This window comes from Homo sapiens, chromosome 2, assembly GCF_000001405.40.
Source record: "Homo sapiens chromosome 2, GRCh38.p14 Primary Assembly".
Classification (NCBI taxonomy): Eukaryota; Metazoa; Chordata; class Mammalia; order Primates; family Hominidae; genus Homo; species Homo sapiens.
The window spans coordinates 90,075,501-90,095,599 of NC_000002.12; the positions used below are offsets into that span (position 1 = coordinate 90,075,501).

Here is a 20,099-nt window from a genome sequence, read left to right on the forward strand (position 1 = left end):
GGTTGGCAAGTCGTGGTTACTGGAGACCAGAAAGTAAAATGTCAAATACTGAGAAGCTTGTGCATGGAGCAGACATAGGCCATTGTCAACAGAGTCCCAGCAGCTGGTGAGTCATGAAACCTGGGCAGTGAGATCCCACATCACCCCAGTCAGAGGGGAAGCTGGGAATGAGCCATGGCGGGTCTTCATCCTGTGACTATGCAGCCTCTGAGCCACATGTGCTGCTTTGTTTGATGGAAATGACCAGAAGAGGACTTGTCTATGCTGAGCTCTGGTGACAAAACTTCCCTCCATTCAGGGCCCAGAGCCACTATCCATCTCCTGGGCATCTGCTGCTCTGTGATTCTGCACACCCACCTCAGGTCACTTATTATCCTCAGCAATGGGCAGCTCTCTGCTCTCAGCCCAGGGGAACGTGGAAGAGGGTCCTGAGCTTTATGACCCTCAGGTCCTGTAGTGAGAAAGGGGCCATGTGGTGGTACACCCAGTGCTCATTTTCAATGTTCATGTTCAACTTATTAAAGTTTAAAACTATACCTTATACTAGCAATCAAAGTTCTCTTTATATATAAACGTGCATCGCATATTTTTTCATAAACAGATACATAGTATATACAAATATATAAATACAACTTACTTCTAAAGTATTATATGTATTCAATATGTAAAGTTTATATTAGAAATTCATATTACATATACACATAATTTTACATTTATTTTTGTAGCGTGTGTTCCTTTTATTTCCAAGCAGAACAGAGTCTGGCTGAGTAAAGACTTTGAGTACATTTGCAGACTCTCCCTCTTTGGCTCCAACAAGGTCCCAGTCATTCAGTACCAGGGAGGGCACAGCTGACAGCACCCATCCCAGGAACCCAGAGCTAGTCCCGAGGTCTGGGTCTTGAGACTTTTACTCTTGCCAGGCTGCAGGATATATGCTTAATGCAGCTCTCGTGAATTTGTGAGCAGTTTCCTTCCCTTAAGCCCCTGCCAGGCAGCCCTGTGGCCAGGGCCTGTGGTTCCTCCCAGGTCCTCAGCTCTGTGGCTCAGGAGAGCAGCTGCTTCCTCCACAGCTTAGGGTCAGCATCGGGCAGCTCTCAGGCACTGCCAGCCTGACTGTAGCCCTGGGTTAAGGACCCTATTCCAAATGTCTCCTCATTTATTGTAGTACTGGAAAGTCTGTCTTGTTCTTAAACTCAAAGTCCACATTTCCATAATTGCTAAAGCTGGCATTTGCCATCTGGAAAAGTAGAAATGTGAATTCATTGTCATTCTCAGAGCCTGGCCTCTTCCAAGCCCACCAGGTAAAGTTGCCCATATGTTCTCTTCTCTCCACACAACTTTACTTAGAGTTATAGCGAAATGTAATGTGTGGCAAAGCTCTTATTGCCTGCACAGAAACCATCTTCTTCTCCTTTGGTGCCTAGGACACCAGCTCTATCCTGCTGGACATGGTGAGGACAGTGAGCCTCTCCCAGCCCGGGACAGGAGCAGGGATTAAGGATACATGTGATTAGCTCCACAATGCAATGTCAGGGGAGTGAAGGAGGGGCAGGGACTCTGGGAAGAATTTGATCCTTCATAAGAAGATGGAAGGTGAAGAGCTTTGCTTCACCTTTGATAATCAATGACTTTATTTTAGATTTTGGAGCTGGGACACATGTTTCATTGCCCTGAATCCTTCCACATCTCCTCTTTCTCTTACAATATCTCTGACTCAGTTTGTCTTTCTCAGATTGTGTGCTGAAAATCAATTTTCCCTCCTAACATGAAAACAAACTAACAGAAGTCTCTTCCTCCTATCATGTGCTGTGAGATCTGACCGCTAAACTCTGTGATACCCAGATCGTATAAGAGATAGTCATGGGATTTTACCCAAGAGATTTTCTAGCTAAAAAGAATTCTTGTCCTAGCTCTTCTCTCAGAAACATTTTCTCTGTCTCTTGTCAAAACTGACACCAGAAAACAAGGTGGAAATATTTCCAAGAACAGAGGACAGTCATGCACTCAGTGAGCTGAAAGACATCTCTTCCCCTTGCATTAGTTTCCAACGCTGCTGTTTAAATCACCACAGTCTTATTGGCTTCACACAACATAAATGTATTACCCTGTAATTCTGGAGGTCAGAAGTCTCACTGAGCTAATGCTAAGGTGTCAGTAGGGCTGCATTCCTTCTGGAGGATCCAGAGGAGAGAACTGGATTCTCTGCTTTTTACGTTCCAGGTGCTCCCATAGTTCTGGTTCCATGGCCCCTTCCTTCCTCAAACCACATCCCTCCCTATTGTCTCAGCTCCTCTCTGACTGTGAGCCTCCTCCTCTATTTTAAGGACTTTGTGATTATATTGGTTTCATTTCGATAACCAGGTTTCTTATTCTCAAAGTCCTTAACTTACATCTGTCAAGTTCTCTTTTTGCTATGTAAGGTAGAATTTTTATGATATGGCTCCAGTGACTGGAGGAACACCAGAGTTCTTGATCTCACGCCAGTTTGGATAAAACGACACAGACACATGTGGAGTGTTTTAAGGAGAGAAAGGTTTAATATGCAAGAAGGAAGGAAGAAGAAAACACCTCCCCCATACAGAGACAGGGGAAGGTGTGATTCAAAGAGAAAACTCTCTGTGCAGCAGAAAAGAGACTCCTATATGAGGAGGCTGGAGGAAGTGGTGTCTGATTTGCATAGGGCTCTCAGGATTGGTTTGACCAGGCATGTCATTCATGTAGCCTACAATATAACTGGCCTTCCCACCATAGCCTTTTAATATACAAATGCAGGGTGCCAAAATATTCTATACACATGGGGATATATGGGGGCAGCCATGTGGCCAGGCATATGTGGGAGCCAGGAGGAAGATGGTGGGAGTCGCCATGTTTGGCTGGACTCAGTTTCTAATGGCCAGAATTTGCATATCAAAGCTTGCCAGCCTGGCTCTAAGAATCAGGGCTTTCCTGCTAGGCAAGAAACTTTTCTGGAGCTACTTTAAAAGAAACAAAACCTTCCCAAGGACACCTTTTCCTCTCTATCTGCCTAAAATAATTTCTTAATAACTCCTATATCAATTGGGTTCCAGAGACGAGGACATGGGCATCTTTCGGGGTGGGGACATTATTCATTCCACCAACAATAAACATATTCCCCAAAATTGTCCTTCTCTAAAGTAAAATTTTAAAAATCGCAAAGTATTTTTATGAAACAGAGCTGGACAAAATCTTAGACTCAGGTTCCTTTAAATTGTGAGCTTTAACTGTTAAGGTATGATCACTCCACTGACTCTAATGTAGATTTATTGCTGTGTAGATTGTTTTAGAGGATTTTTAAGTTTGTGATCCAGTGTAAACAAAACAGTATCTGAGACGGGTCTCAATCAAGTTATAGGTTTATTTTGCCAAAGATAAGGCTTATGGCCTGTGACACAGCCTTAGGATGTCCTGCAAATATGTGCCCAAGGTGGTTGGATTACACATTGGTTTTAAACACTTTGGAGAGACAGAAATTATGAGGAAAGACATAAATCAATACATATAAGATATACATTAGTTTGTCCTGGAAAGGTGGGATATTTTGAAGCAGAGGCTTCCAGGTCATACATGGATTCAAAGGTTTCCTGACTGGCCACTGGTTGAAAGAGTTAAGCTCTGCCTAAAGAGTTGAATTCATCATAAATAAATACTTGAGTTTAGATAAGGGGGTGTGGAAGCCAAGGTTCTTGTCATGTAGAAGAGTCCTATGGGTAGCAGACAAAGTAGATGGTGAATGTTGCCTATCAGACCTTAAAAAAAATGTCAGACTCTTTGGAAAAGACTGAGTAAGGGGAGGAGTTTCTCTGCAGAATGCAAATTTCCTCCACTACAGGCAGCTTTGCAGGGCCACTTCAGAATATGATGAAGAATTACTTTTAAGGTAAAATATTTAGATTTTCTTCAGGGCCTATTATCTGTCATGTTGGAGTATGGTATCTTATCGCTACAAAGCATCTGTTTTGTCAGTCCAAAGCTGTCTCTCGTAATGATAATGTTGGTCAGTTTTGTCTGAACTCCAAAGTGAGGAGAGTATAATGAGGCACATCGAAACCCACCTGCCAGTCATGGCCTAACCTAGTTTTTCTGTTTTCTTTGAAGTTCTCTCTGCCACAAGAAGAGACCGTTCAGCTGATTGGTGGCTTACAACTTATTTTTTTGTTTTAACAAACAGAACAAAAAAAATCACCGCCTAAATTCAATCTAAAATAGATTGGTTAAAAAAAATTAAGTGCTTCCTGGATATTCCTACATGTCAAAGAAAGAGAAGTGACAAGAATAAACATGGGAAATACCCCTCATACAAAAGATAAACAATTTTTTTCACTATCTTGGTTTGGGTCCACCAGCAATGAGGATTCCTGTTTAGGCAGCAAATTTACAGTGCGAAGAAAGGAAGAAAGTGAGGGTGGGAGCAGAAAATGAATGGTAAAAGACACATCAACAGCCCACCTGACTCAGGATAACTAAAGATCAACCACATGTGGAAACATGGACTAAATTCCTCTGGGCTGTTCCATCTGAGAAATGAGGAAGCTGGGGTATGTATACACCTCATCCTGTCCTCACTGATTGTGAGCTGTCTCTCTTGTTCCATTTCAAACTGTTATAACAGGTTCCTTGTCACTGTGTAATTTATAAAGAACAGAAATTAATTTTCTCACACTTCTGGGGAATGGGAAATTTAAGATCAAGGCATGGGCAGGTTAAGGTCTGCTTTCTCTGCTTTCAAGATGATGCCTGGAGCATTGACTCCTTCAAAGGAAGAAAGGCCTTGTCTTAACATGACAGACGGATGGAAGAGAGAAAAGGATTCCAGTCCTGTAATTCCTCTTTATAGTGGCATTAATGTATTCCACTAGAGGGCTTCACCTCATGACCTAAACACATCCCAATAGGCCCCACCTGGCAATACCATTACACTGAGATTTAACTTTACAACAGATGGATTCTGGAGGACACAGTCAAACCATAAAACTTTCCTAAGAGATACACATTCCAGGCCATCTGGCCAGCAAGGCATACAGACAGATCTCTCTGCCCAAGATCATAAAGAACATAAGACAATATATGGCCATTGGAAGTGAGCAGAGGTACAGCAAAGGGGAAAGCCCCAGATCACAGATGGGGACTGCTACATTCATCATGGTACAGTTAATCCTTGAATAACTTGGGTTTGAAATTTGCAGATCCACTTATATTTTCTTCTGTGTGTGTCACCTGTGAGCAAGCACTTTGTAAGTAGTAAATATGTTTTCTCATTTTTATGGTTTTCTTAAAAACATTTTTTTCTTTAGCATACTTTATTGGAAGAATAGAGTATATAATATGTATAATATAAAAAAGGGTTAATCAACTATTTATGTGATCACTAAGGCTTCTAGTCAAAAGTAATCTATTAGTACTTAAGTTAGGGATGCAAAAGTTCTACACAGGTTTTCAACTGCACTAGTGGTCAGTGCCCCAACCTCCACATTGTTCAGGGGTCAACTGCTCTTTCAGTCTGTAGCTGCATCTCTCTGGAACAGGATTTTGGCAGGTGGGTTCCAAGTAAAGGAATCCAGAAAATAACATCTCAAACTGTGCTGCATTTGTATGATGATTATGTAAAACTAAAGGCATTTAGAAAGCGACAAATGCACAAAAAGGCTTTTCCTAAATATCCCTTATCTTCCTAAAAGCAAATTCTTCAGAAGGAAACCAATTTTTAAGAAAATTCTTCCTGAGAATATTTATATCAGGGAAGATTGACACAAAACAGGAGTCAAAAATAGAAAAGACTGGAAGTTCATATTTCATCCAGGCAGGTGATTACCTATTCTTTTGAGGATGCACTTCTATTCTCATCTATTCTCTCCAGGTTGCCTACACTTCCCAATTCCCTCTTCCCTAAACAAGAAATATAAACACCTGGATTTCACTGACTTATCTGGGTAATCACCCTGCTATGATATCCTGCTGCACTTTAAGTGAATTGAGTTTGCCTTTTCTCTTATTAATCTTCCTTTTGTCAGTTTATTTTTAGCAAACATTTAGAGGGCAAATGGAACATTCTTCCTTTCTCCCAATATAAGCAAGTTCCCTTAAAATTCAGGCAGCCTATAAAGCAGCAGGAAGATTTGTGCACAAGCTACAGCACTGTGATTTGGCTCCCCTAGTCAGGCATCAGTAAAATTTTGTGGAGCCCTAGGCTGCAGCCCACTGATGCTGATATGGTTGTATCCACTTTCCCTGCTACTGAACCAGGCTGGGACATTTTTGGGCACATTAGAGATGTGAGATATAACGAGTGCAAATCCATGTCCAATTTCATCTGGATCCAACTGATTTGTCCATGAACATGGGCAGTTGCTTGATAAAAGATTGAGTGTCTCTTTCCTAAAGATGTTAGCAGGGAGGCTGGTGTCTGGGTCAGGATGATGTTCCCACTCACTGATAAAATGTAAAAGCGGACAGTGGCATTGATGGTGCATGGCAGAGACATGCTCCGTGCAGTGGCCATGCTCACTAAGAGAGATAAACTTTGGAAAATAGTACTCAATGGCAGAAAAGAAGGTAGACTATAAGTTGCCCAAAACAAGAATAAGGTACAGCCCATTTAGTCTCTGGGTATTGAAGAGACCTGTCACTCTTGATAATGGTGAATGTGTGAGTGCTGCATGCATTGAGGAAACATGGTATCATCTTTGTGTATTTGTAGTAAATTGCTTGAACTTATACTGGTAAGAACAATAGTATAACACCATTACCTCATACTTACAAATATATGCATCATCATGTCAATATATTTTATTTTTAATTTTTTTTAGAAAGGAACAATGATAAACTTACAGAAAAGTTGCAAGTATACAATAAATACCCCCTTCCCTAACCGGAATTATACAATAGTCTTTTAAAGACCTTAGAATTCTATCGTCTAAAACTTTACTATGTGTTTCCTACAAAAAAAGAATATCCTCCTATATACTCCCCATACGCCAATGAAATATGATACTCCACGGACTCCTAAGGAATATTTCAAATTGTCAAAAAAAATCTAAAAAATGTCTCTCGTAACAAAATAGTCTCCAGTAGAAACCCATTCTCTGCAGACAAATCTGTGCTACCCTGATCTTACCTGGGACACCTGGGGACACTGAGCTGCTGCTGAGTTACTGAGATGAGCCAGCCCTGCAGCTGCGCCCAGCCTGCCCCATCCCCTGCTCATTTGCATGTTCCCAGAGCATAGCCTCCTGCCCTGAAGCCTTATTAATAGGCTGGACACACTTCATGGAGGAATCAGTCCCACTCAGGACACAGCATGGACATGAGGGTCCCTGCTCAGCTCCTGGGGCTCCTGCTGCTCTGGTTCCCAGGTAAGGATGGAGAACACTAACAGTTTACTCAGCCCAGAGTGCTCAGTACTGCTTTACTGTTCAGGGAAATTCTCTTACAACATGATTAATTGTGTGGACATTTGTTTTTATGTTTCCAATCTCAGGTGCCAGATGTAACATCCAGATGACCCAGTCTCCATCTGCCATGTCTGCATCTGTAGGAGACAGAGTCACCATCACTTGTCGGGCGAGGCAGGGCATTAGCAATTATTTAGCCTGGTTTCAGCAGAAACCAGGGAAAGTCCCTAAGCACCTGATCTATGCTGCATCCAGTTTGCAAAGTGGGGTCCCATCAAGGTTCAGCGGCAGTGGATCTGGGACAGAATTCACTCTCACAATCAGCAGCCTGCAGCCTGAAGATTTTGCAACTTATTACTGTCTACAGCATAATAGTTACCCTCCCACAGTGTTACACACCCGAACATAAACCCCCAGGGAAGAAGATGTGTGAGGCTGGGCTGCCCCAGCTGCTCCTCCTGATGCCTCCATCGGCTGAGATTGTTCCTCAGATGCAGCCACACTCTGATGGTGTTGGTAGAAGGGGACATGAAGTCACCTCTGCACCCTAATTCTTTTCTCTTTCTCAGCCCCAACTACACAGACATAGCAATGCCTCTCCGAATTTAATACAGACAGAGATCATGACACCTGAGGAGTCTAGTTTATGGCTTCAGTTGGACTTTATATAACAGAGAAGAAGCCACTATAGATATTCTAGGCAGGAATTGTCTTAATACAGAGAATTAAAGTAAACTACTGACGTCTAAATAAAATGTAGAGATGAATCTCTAAATGTAATGTTTTATTTACACAGAAATATTTCCCAAATGGGGCATACAGGAAAACTCAGTGGTCTTCAATATGTGGCAAGAACAAAGAAAAAGTTAGTGTTTCATGAAAAAGGGAAAATATTACCTATGGCTCTTTGAGAAAGTTCATTGGCACTAGGAAGGGTTGGGAGCTGGCAAGCTCAGACTGGGAAGCAGTGGTGGACAAAGTGAATCCTAGAATTATATCAAGTTATCTCAGAAGTTGTGGACAAATTTGATTTCAGGTTACAAGAAGCCAAAGCAGTGAAGGTTGCAGAGTGTTTTGTTACTGAAATACCAGGGATTCAGCGTAGATCCTGCAGCTCACCACTCAGAAAGCCAATCACTAAGGCAAGTATTGCCAAGGAAAAGGCTTTAATCAGGTGCTGTAGCTGAGGAGATGGGACACCATTCTCAAATGTATCCCTGACCAACAAAAATTAGGGGTTTATATAGCATGGAAGAAATGTGGGAAAACAGGAATTATGGAGGGTTAAGGGAGATAATTTGGTCAACAAGAAGCAGGAGGTCAGTTATGCAGTCATAATGAGTGAAGGGTCTGATGTCCCACTGTCCTGATTCAGTGATATGTAAGTTTCAGCTCCTTGATAGTATCTGGGAGGCCTGATGGTTGGTTTACTGAAAAAAGAACTCAGGTAAGACAGATGTAACTATCTTGAGTTTTAAGATCAGGGAAGTCAATTTCTATGTTTATTCAAAAAACCATAAACATTAGTTCCATGGCATAATAGGGCCTATTTCAATTGCATTCTAGAAACAATATTTTTCACCCTGAGTGCCTTTCCCCTCTGGTTTCATGGCTCTGTTTGGTATGACAAGAATGACCCAATTCCTATGATTAACATTCACACTACAACCTTTCAAAACCAAGGATATAGTATTCAGGAAAGTTGATATTAGAAGCAGCATTCTTTGGTGCTCCCACTGAAAACAGAATGTATCCACCCCTGAAGTAAGGGTTTTCTAACCATGTGGTCCTCAGTCCTGTCTGGAAGCTTAAGTCTGGAATTGCTGAAGTTCTCGCTTCCTAGAGCATCTTTCCAGGTGTTTCTCCAGTCCTCACCTTTGTCTCTCTGCCTCTTAGGTACCAATGGATAATACTGAGTCTTCCTTTTCTCACTTCCAAATCTCATGGGGGACCCTCTTATTGGGCAACCCTATAGGACATGAGAGGTAAAGAGGGATATTTCCATAAGTTAAAATGATTTTCCCCCAAAAAGGTCATTTAAAAAAATTATATTTGAAGCCACATGTTGAAAACACATCCAGCTTTGCTTTCTTATTAATGCAAACTTACATTTGCAAATATTTTCAGGATTGTGAAGGTTGAAAACATGATTATTTGTCTATGGAATGATCAAACACCTCTACAATTAAGTGGAGTAAACATTTTCTTAAAAACTTATACTCATTGAAATAAAGGAATATATTTAAAATGTTTGAAGCTATGTTAGAAATTATTGGACTTAAATTCAACTGTGCGGTTTGGTTTGGGATGTTGATCACTACTGTGACCTGCCACAAGAATCTTGTGTCATGTGTAGTCACTGCTGTTCAGCCTTGTCGTTAAACAACTGATATCTACAGGCTGAATACAATCTACAGGCTCCTCTCTGCTGAGAGGAGCCACTCAGCAGAGACCTTCCTTGATCAGCCAGATGATTGTGAACATGAGCATCTATGAACGTGAAAACAAATGTTTACTGTTATCAGCCACTGAGTTGTACATTTAACCAGTTACCGTAATTAATGCATAAACACTTCCTGATACAGTATTTACACCTCTACCTATATAAACATACATATTTTTTCTTGAATTGGTGGTATAAATATGAATATTTAGTAATCAAATTATGAAGTTATTAAGAGAAAAACACAAAATTAAAACTAATTAGTATTTCAATAAAAAATTAAAATTTACCTTCTTTATGGAAAAAAGTGCATATATATTTAAGATACATAGAAGTGAACATATATTTATTTGATAAAATGTTGGCTACAACTACGTACAGTATTCATATTTAAGTACATTTATTCTGTTATATATGCAATATATACATATTTTATTTATAAAATATTATCTAAATTATATACGTTTAAATAATTGTTACATTCCACACAAAAAAATGGTATTTGTGATGACACCTAATTCATACTCTTGCTACAGAAAATTTATTTGTAGCCTTTATTTTTAAAACTTTACCAAATGGTTGTCCTTACCTAAAATATTTTTCCAATCCAGTAGAGCTCCAAGGGTAAGGCTAGAGCAAATTTTGACTAATGTTGAATATTAACCATTGCATCCTATAAAAGTCTCCATTATGTTCATGCCCACAATGATGATATTCCAAATAGAGTTCTCACAACAATGGATGCTGGATGGAGTCACATCAGTGCCATTGTCAAGGAAGCTCTGGAAATGTAAAACTCATAACAGTGGGTAAACTGCAAGGCCTACATCTGATGATCACGTTGCAAAGAGAACAGCAGTTTAATAATATTGGCTGTTGGTTTTGACAGATCATCAGGCCTTAAAAGAAATGCAACAGGATGATTTCAGACAAAGTCATTCTGTAAGAGCTATGACTAGAAGTTTCAAAAATGAGCCATAATCAAGAATAAGAAGCTTTCCAAGTGAATATTAATTGAAATGCCATTAACGAGCAGCGGGCTTTTAATAATGAGGATGATTCAACATATGGACTTCAGTTACCTCTTCCAGCTTTCCCAGCTAGCCTCACGAACCAGTGTTATGGAGGTCCCTGTGGAGACTCAATAATATGACTTTCAACTAACTGAGATGTACAGGGCTACTGGCTCTTCTGAACACCCAATTTGCCAAGAAAACTGACCCCTCCAGAACCCTTAACATTGTACCACACATCAGGGCTCAGACTAATTACTGGTATCAGGTGATTCTAGTGGACCTCATGGAACATGAGGATGGCAGTGGTTATTTTACTATATATGGATTTGCCTTCCTTTTCGGTTATGTTTCTGCATAAAATATTATTTGTGGATTTTCAAAGAGTTTTCATCAGAGTCAGGAAGTTCTTCCATAATATGGCTTTGGATCAAGCAACTTATTTGCCTCAAAAAAAGTGAAGCAAAATGTAGCTCATGCTCTTGTCATGTGCACAGGTGCAGCTTTCCCTATAGACAGGGAAAAACCCATTATTAGTCAAGCAAAGCTGTCACACAAACCTTTGTGCTATTGAATTGCTATGCTGTCAGAAGTGGTGGAGGCTCTGAAACACTAATCATGAATGGTGCTGTTACTTCCATAAACAGAATATTTATATCTTGAAAATGAGCTGCAGATTCATCATTCTTATGCCAACTGAACAGCTTGAAATACTCTATTTCTATTTTCTCAGGGCTGTGGTTTTCTGGCTGATGGTTCTTAATCCAAACAGTTGACATGACAATTATTGCATGAAATTGGAAGAAATGATATGATAAGCATGTGACCATTCAGACTCAATACAATACTGGATAAGTTGTCAACACAGGGCGTTCAGATGTGTGCTGGGGCCATAGATCTAGCCCGTATAAAGCAAGAGCAAACATAATTGACTTTACATATTTTAGAGAGGAAGTACAGAAAATATGGACCCTAGGGGACCTTCTGGAATCTTTCTATTTATTGCCATTTCCACTGGTAAAACTCAGAGAAGATGTCAACAGTCATCAGGATGAAGTTCTAGGGATCACAGTTATGTGAAGCATTACTTGCACTTGGATCTCCAGTGAGGCAAAGGGAAGACGAAATGCATAGTGGAATGTGGAGGGGTAAACACCAGAGACAGACACCTAGTCAGCTTCAACGTTGAAAAGTGTATTTATTTTTTCTCTTTAGTTTTATCACTGAATCATTTGGATCTAAGAAAAGCGATTATGGCTGGTTAGGCAGAAAGGTGTTTATTATCATGAATTAAATGGATTGAAAACATTTGGGGAAACCAGAGTGGAAGCTCAGGCAACTCCAAGTACTCCTTTTGCTATTGCTTGACCCTCCTCATCTCCATATTTTCCACAGTCAAGAAAGATACTCTCATTTTATAGGAACCTGGCAAGTGAAGATATTGTGCCCACAGGACTGTGCTGCCTGGCTGAGACCGAGACCAGGAAAATGAGCACATTTGAGTGAGATCAGACATTTCCCCTCCCTCATCTCAATCCAAAACGACTCTGTAGTAACACATCTGATGGGCAGTCAGAGAAAGGGGTCAGATTTCCAGCAGTTGACAGTTGATAGCAGAGCTGCTGTCCTCCTGGGGGCAGTAGTGAGAAGAGCTGGTCTCTTTTCTGCTGCAAAAGACAGCTTGAATGTCTCAAACAGTAGGAGCTCCTCCCCAGCCTGTGCCAGCAGTATGATTCTTGGAATTGTTCTAGAGGCTTTGACTGGAGCCTGTTCTTTAAGGCTTTTCAACAATTTGTAAGGAATTTAATATCTTCTAGTTAATCACTTTATGCTTCATGGATCTGACATTTGCAACAGGGAATATACGCAGTCCGCAGTGACATCATTCACAGCCTCCTTTTTTCTTGCTAAATATATAATGCTTTCCAGGTGGACCTGCCAGAGGAAGACAATGTGAACAACAATCCATGTCACCAAAAATGCAAGACAAATAAGCTCGGGAAAGCCACTGGGTTCTCACCTAGTTGCACTGTCCCCCTGAGTCTTTTTTTTTTTTTTTTTTGGTCACCTTAGTCAAAATCATGAACAAAGTTGCCAACTTTGAATGGAGCCCTTTGCAACGGTAGCCTTGGAATCTATTCAACTATACATGTCCAAGGCATTTATTTAAGACCTTTAGAGCCTGCTTGCTCGATGGAAATCCAGGTATCCACTATTTCTATGCATGCTGACTGGAGTCTGTGGCAATGTCACTAGGTGCACCAGACTCAGCTTTTGGATGCAAAAGTTTCCTGAAGTGGCCACCAGTTGTGCCTCTTTTGAATGGCAACTCCTCACTTGCTGTAGGAAAATGATAGGGCCTGAGTATCTCAAGATTTCATTTTTTTTTTTCCTCAGATAGTCTCACTCTGTCACTCAGGATGCAGTGCAGTGGCACGATCTACACTCACTGCAACCTATGCCTTCCAGGTTCAAGCGATTCTCCTGCCTCAACCTCCAGAGTAGCTAGGACTACAGGTGCACACCACCATGCCCGGCTATGTTTTGTACTTTTAGTAGAGACAGCGTTTCACCATGTTGGCCAGGCTGGTCTCAAACTGCTGACCTCCAGTGATCTGCCTTCCTCAGCCTCCCAAAGTGCTGGGATTATAGGCGTGAGCCACTGTGCCCAGCCTCCCAAGGTTTCTAAAGTGGAACTCTAACATTCCTGATAAGAACCTGACCATCTTCCAAGGTTGCTGATAGAGCTGGCATTTCCCCAAAGCACCAAATGAGATCTAGCCAGCTGAAAGTGGGATGGTCCCCAGAACTGACCTTTCACTGATTTTTCCTCATTATAATCTCATTGTAATACTAAAATATCCACCCAAGGCAGGGCTTATCTTCCATTTCCTCATCATGTTATATATGTTAGAGCATGACGCTCCACTGCACAAATGCAAAGAAAACTTTGCCTAACCATGCTTGTATGTCATTCCTTTTTCCGCCTCAGCTTCCTTAAAATGGTAAGAGCTGGGCACTTCAAGGAATAGCCACCAGGATCTCTTACCCATAGGCTGCTCCCTTGCTTTGCTCTTGCCACAAACCTACTAAACCTTGCCTGAGACAATTTCTGTTTGGCCTGGTGTTGATTTCTATTTACAAAAGAGGCAAGGGGTCAGGCACGATGGCTCACACCTATAATCTCAGTACTCTGGGAGGCCGAGGTGGGTGGATCACCGGAAGTCAGGAGTTTGAAACCAGCCTGACCAACATGGTGAAACCCCATCTCTACTAAAAATACAAAATTAGCCAGGCGTGGGGGTGCACACTTGTAATCCCAGCTACTTGGGAGGCTGAGGCAGGAGAATCACTTGAACCCAGGAGGCAGAGGTTGCAGTGAGCTGAGATCACACCACTGTACTTCAGCCTGGGAAACAAAAGCAAAACTCTGTCTCAAAAAAAAAAAAAAGCAGCGGGGAGGAGACAAAGAACTTGGGGTCCCAGCAGCAGCAAAAATTGCATCAGGTGGGAAAGAAGAGCTGATTAGAACTTTTCTTCCAAGTCTTTCACTTGCCACTTAGTGATTTTTACCAAGTGTCCTGAAGCTACCTCAAAGAGTAACACTCAAGTAACTCCAGCACTGCAGGTGCAAAGGTGACCACAGCTGCATGGATGGGCAGGACCCAGGCTCTGACACTCAGGCTGCCAATACAATTGCCATGAAGACAGATGTTGATGCCATCCATGAAGGCAGGGGATAATTCCTTGGCTGATTCTCTAATCTCCACTACACTCACTCTGCACAACACATCTATCAAACTAGACTCAATTTCTCTTCTCCTTAATTGTTTTGAAAAACTCTGTTCACAGTCCAGAGCTTCATTTCCTACAAATCTGCACCTTTCCTTTAAGCAGTTAAACTCCTTTGCTTTCTGGACACTTCGCCTGGTCTCAAGGAAGCAATTTTATTAATGCTACTCCAAGTTCTAATGGAATCTTCATCCATCCTGGAATTAGAGCTTCATGTACAGCCAGGCAAGATCCATGCAACAGTCCAGATGTTGTCTTGGCAGGCCCTGAAGTCAAACCCTTGGGGTTGGGGATGGAGCTTTACCGCTTACATGTTGTGTGACATTAGTAAAGTAACTTAACCCCCCTTTGCCTCCTTTTCTATACCCGCAATGCTGTGACAATAATAGGTTCTACCTCATAGGTCGGTTTACAATTTAAACAAGGTAAAAGATTTAGAATATTATCCAACAGATAATATGTGCTTCTATTAATTTAGGTATCCTTATAGCTATAATACTTAGCACTTAGCAGACACTTATTGAAAATAGTTTTAAATCCAAGTTCTTTCCATCTACAGCCCCAAGAGGTGCTAAAATGGGGGTTTTTACTACCCAGCTCACAGCCCTTTAAATCCTAAAGATTTTGTCTTGATCCATGCTAAATTGCTCAAATCAATCATGCCCATGCATGTCTGTCCAATGCATTTCTTCTCACCATCCATTATCACAACCTATTATTCTATGATAGGTTCAATTGTCGTATTGCTGTCCTGCTTTCTTGTGTAAGTCTTATTCTATCTTTTAAATCTTTTCTCTATTTCTCTAATACTTGTGCCAAAACTCAAAATCTAATCTCAGTTTCTTTGACATGCTTCTATGTTAATGATGTAGTTTATTTGATGTTGTTTATGCTTTTACTTGTTGGATTCCTATGGAAACAAATTATTTTAAGTGCATGTCCTTCTAAGACCACAGAGCTAGAAGGTGAAAAAAAGCTAAGTGGAAGTGTATGAAGAAGAGTGATTTGGGAAACTAAAGTGTCACTTCTCCAAGAGTTTTCAAGTTGTATTTTATTTTTTGTTTTTTTACAAACCATGTGTGACTTTGTCAAACACTTTTTATCTAAAGCCTTTTTTCTCTAAAAGCCCACGTAGATTACCTACATGCAGTAAAAATCTGCTCGGCCTTTCTCTAGTTTCTCCCTGTATACACCCAGAAGTCCACACATGAGACCCCGCCAGATTTAACAGCCTTGGCCTGGCAGAATCTGCAGGACAATGGAGGGGATCCATGTGTCCCCTGAGGAACCAGACTCGACAGCAGATAAAGCTGAGTAGAAGGGCATCCTAATCCTTTCTGCCTTCCCTATGCATTTTGGTCAATTAAACCCATTCAGTGTAACAACTTTGTATTTAAGGCTGGTTCACACCAAACCAAAACTAATATGCTTTCTGTATTTTATTTTGATGAGTAGTTACTGGTTTACATGCAGCTGGGTTAGTTTAGGTATATAAAAACTGTTTCTCTCCCTTCCCCCACCTTCACACTTCCACTGTTTCTTAGTACCTGTCTTTCTGCTGGAAAGGGGCTGGAAAGACCCCTTTTAATACCATTGTTTCAGAGAGTAGCCAGGTAAAACTATTGGCATTCTTGGCTTTTGGCTACTAAATAGATTTCATTAAATCTACTTAAAAACTAAAGTAGGCTAGGCATGGTAGCTCATCCCTATAATCCCATCTTGGGGCGCCGAGATGGGTGGATCACCTGAGGTCAGGAGTTTGAGACCAGCCTGGCCAACATGGTGAAACCCCGTCTCTACTGAAAATATAAAAACTAGCCTGGCATGGTGGTGGGTGCCTGTAATCCCAGCTGCTCGGGAGGCTGAGGCAGGAGAATTGCTTGAACCCAGGAGACAGAGGTTGCAGTGGGCCGACATGATGCCATTGCACTCCAGCCTCGGCGACAGAGTGAGACTCCGTCACAAAAAAAAAAAAAAAAGTCATGTGTCAAATGTCTGATCAGTCAGACACAGCACGATGAAGTAGATGTAGGAGAGATTTCACACTCAGTATGAGTACCCTGATATTTGAGGAAACTAAAGATGCCAGAACACCCTAGCAGAAACCTCTCTCCAGTGAGTCATGGCATTGTGTGATCTACCTCCACAGAGAACAGGCAGAACTTAGGCTTGCTTCTAACCCATATGGTATGGCAGAGGTTATGAGATGTCTTTCCAATGATTGTATTGTATTCTGTAAGCCTCTGTCATAGCAGACTGGAAAGAGACACTCTCTGAAACCTTCTGCTGGCCTTGAACAAACAACCAGCCATGTGGGCATTGCCTGTGTGAGCATCACATGGCAGGGAATTGTCCACAGCCTCTGGGACCTGAGAGCAGCCTTGAGCCAAGAGCCAGTAAGAAGCTGAAGCCCTGAGTCACAGAGGTGCTAAGGCATGGGCTCTGCAACTACCTGAAAGAGCTCTAAAATATCTCTCTTCTCAGGGAGTCTCAGGTGAGAATGAAGAACAGTCTACACTGTGGCACAGTCTTGTGAAATCCAATGGGCAGGATCCAGCAAAGCCATGTGCTGACTGCTGACTCAGAAATTGAGAGATTATAAATGGGTGTAGTCTTAAGTTGATAAATTTGCAGGTAATTTCTTACATGTTTATAACAAACTGAACACACATTTTAAGAACAAATAATAGACCTAAGAGCAGCCATGCCACTGACATTGAATGGAGATGGGCACAGGCTTATTCTCATTGTGACCTTAGGGTTTCCAAGCACTGTGAAAGAGAGGAAAGCTTCGATGTGCAAGCCCTTTCCAATATTCCAATTCTGTCACATCTGCTATTATCCTATTGGCCTGAGCAAGACACATAGGTAACACCTGAGTCCATTTAGAATGAGGCCAACCAAAGGATGAGTGCAGGGAAGGGATTTATTGCAGCTAATTGTGCAAGTAGTTTATCCATAATTTATAAATTTTTTCCTGAGAAATACCCTGAGAAAAGGGAAACCTCTTTAAAAGTCTTAAAGTTTTTCGGTTATAGCTTCGTTGATTATAGTGTTCTGCTTGATATCCAAGTATAAATAACCAAAAACTCCTTCACACTATTATTTCTATGATGGTTTATTTTCCCCATACCTTTACAGGTAATTTTGGTCCTGTAGTGTGCTGTCCAAGTTTACTCTGCAGAGCTGACCATTTGCACAATGTAGCTGACACATCATCGCACCTTGAATGCGGACATTGACTGGTGACCTATGAGAATCCGCTTCAAAAGAATGTATTTGTCACCGCTTTGATCTTTATCCTATCTGAATCCACACACTTCTGTATTGTTCTATGGCTAATCCATATCCTGTCTCTATTAACTCACTCTTGCCATAAGTGACTAAGAGCATCTAACACAGAAATAATAAATACTTCCAGTTCTGAAAATTCAAATTAGTTGAAAAGCATGGGGACATTATAGAAAGAAAATGTATAACTATTTTAAAGACAAAGAAAATGAAGTCTTTGTATTTTGGAATGAAACTGTGTGAAAACTATCTGCAGGTTTCAGCACCAGGGAGGGCCCCTGTCTTTCCTGTGACTGAGCACATTGCCTTTCTCACACCTGCAGGCAACCAGGGAAGTGACTGGATGGGGTGAGCTGAGCTGCACTGTTGGGCCACCCTGGAGAGACTTTGGTAATATATGATGCATTTCAGATGATAACAATAACTGATGACAGCAGTTCAGCTTCTTCATTACCAACGTTTTGTGTGGAATTTCCCCCAAACAACCTACAATGAATAGACGAACTCCTGAGTTGATCTAGAAACGAACTGAATAGAGGTTGGGGAACAGGCCCCATCTCCCTGACCTATGTAAACCGAAACCAAATGTTGTCCAACCTGCACATCAAATCAGCTTCCAGATAGGTTAAACAAGTCATATCAGACCATCTAGTCACAACTGAACCACAGGGTAACTGCAGACACATGAGCAGGCTCAGCAGAGATCAGTTCAGCCAGCCCAGAATGGAGGAACCACAGAGTTGATCCTCAGAGTTATAAGGAGCAGTATAGTCATCTCTCTATCCATGGGATCTGCATCCATGGATTCAACTAAACCTGGATCAAAAATATATAGAAAAAAAATCCACAAATTTCCAAAAAGCAAAACTTGACTTCACCATGTGCTTAGTACCACTTGGTTGAATCCACACAGGTTAAGTCATGTATACATATTGCGTCAGGTATTATAAGTAGGCTAGAGATGGTGTGAAGCGTACATGAGTATATGTGCACAATCTATTACTAATGGGGGAAGAAAAATGACATAAAACAAGGTAAAATTTTATATTTATTTTAAATGGTAATATTATGACACCAACATACTGTGAGAAGCTATGGATATAAAGGAAATACCATGACAACCAATTTAAAAATCACTATAAAAAGAGATACCCTCAAATTAGGTAAAATTAAAATGAAATTCTAAAAATGTTCAAGTAACCCAAAGGAAGGCAGCAAAAAGAAAACGGAGAAGCAAAAAAAGATACAGCAAAAAAGTAGAGCGAAGACTTAAATCTTAGTATATCAATAATTATCGATATATTAAATATGCAAATTAGTAAATTATAACAGACAGCAATTGATGAATCAAAAAGAAATGTCCGAACAGTATACTGTCTATAAGACACTCACATCAAATATGACACTAGAAGTAGACTCAATATAAAAGAAAAGAAAATGGCATAGTATGCAAAATTAATAAAATGAATCAGTAGCAAATACTAATATCAGATAAAGTAGACTACAAAGCCAAGAATGTTACCAGTGACAGAAATGTACATTACATAATGAAGAAAGTCATTTCGGAAAGAAGACAGAGCAGTTCTAAGTGCGTAGACACCAAGCAACAGAGCGATACAGTGCATGTAGCAGAAACTGGTGTGAAATGAAGGAGGCCTTCATTTTCTATTTGGGAAGCAAATGCTCTCTAAGTATAGCAGGACATTCTGGGATATTTTTTAAGCAAAGTACCCCCGTGGTCATATTTTTTTTTTGTAGCAGAGTAACCCGTTCCCTCTTCAAACCACATCCCTCTCCATTGTCCCAGCTCCTCTCTGACTGCAAGCCTCCTCTTTTATTTTAAGGACCTTTGTGATCATATTGGTTTCATCTAGATAACTGGGTCGCTTATTCTTCACTTATATCTGTCAAGTTTTTTTTTTGCTATGTAAGGTAGAATTTTTATGATACGGCTCCGTTGACTGGAGGAACACCAGGGTTCTTGGTCTCACACCACTTTGGATAAAACAACACAGACACACGTGGAGTGCTTTTAGGGAGAGAAAGGTTTAATATGCAAGAAGGACGGAGGAAGAAAACAGCTCCCCCACACAGAGACAGAGGGAGGAGGGATTCCAACAAAGACAAAACTCCATTGCAGCAGAAAAGTGG

The 20,099-nt window shown here is 41.0% G+C and overlaps 1 gene segment (V, D, J or C) and 1 further gene, besides 2 other annotated features; both read left to right on the top strand.

The window, feature by feature from the left end:
- Window positions 1–20,099, top strand: part of IGK (immunoglobulin kappa locus) — a 1,378,008-nt gene that overhangs the window by 1,218,140 nt on the left and 139,769 nt on the right.
- Window positions 7,316–7,370: a sequence feature (IGKV1D-17 leader sequence).
- On the top strand, window positions 7,316–7,791 carry IGKV1D-17 (immunoglobulin kappa variable 1D-17). The segment is given in 2 exon segments: window positions 7,316–7,370; window positions 7,496–7,791. Coding segments are annotated over 2 exon segments (351 nt in total), but the record flags the coding sequence as incomplete, so codon positions are not given.
- Window positions 7,496–7,506: a sequence feature (IGKV1D-17 leader sequence).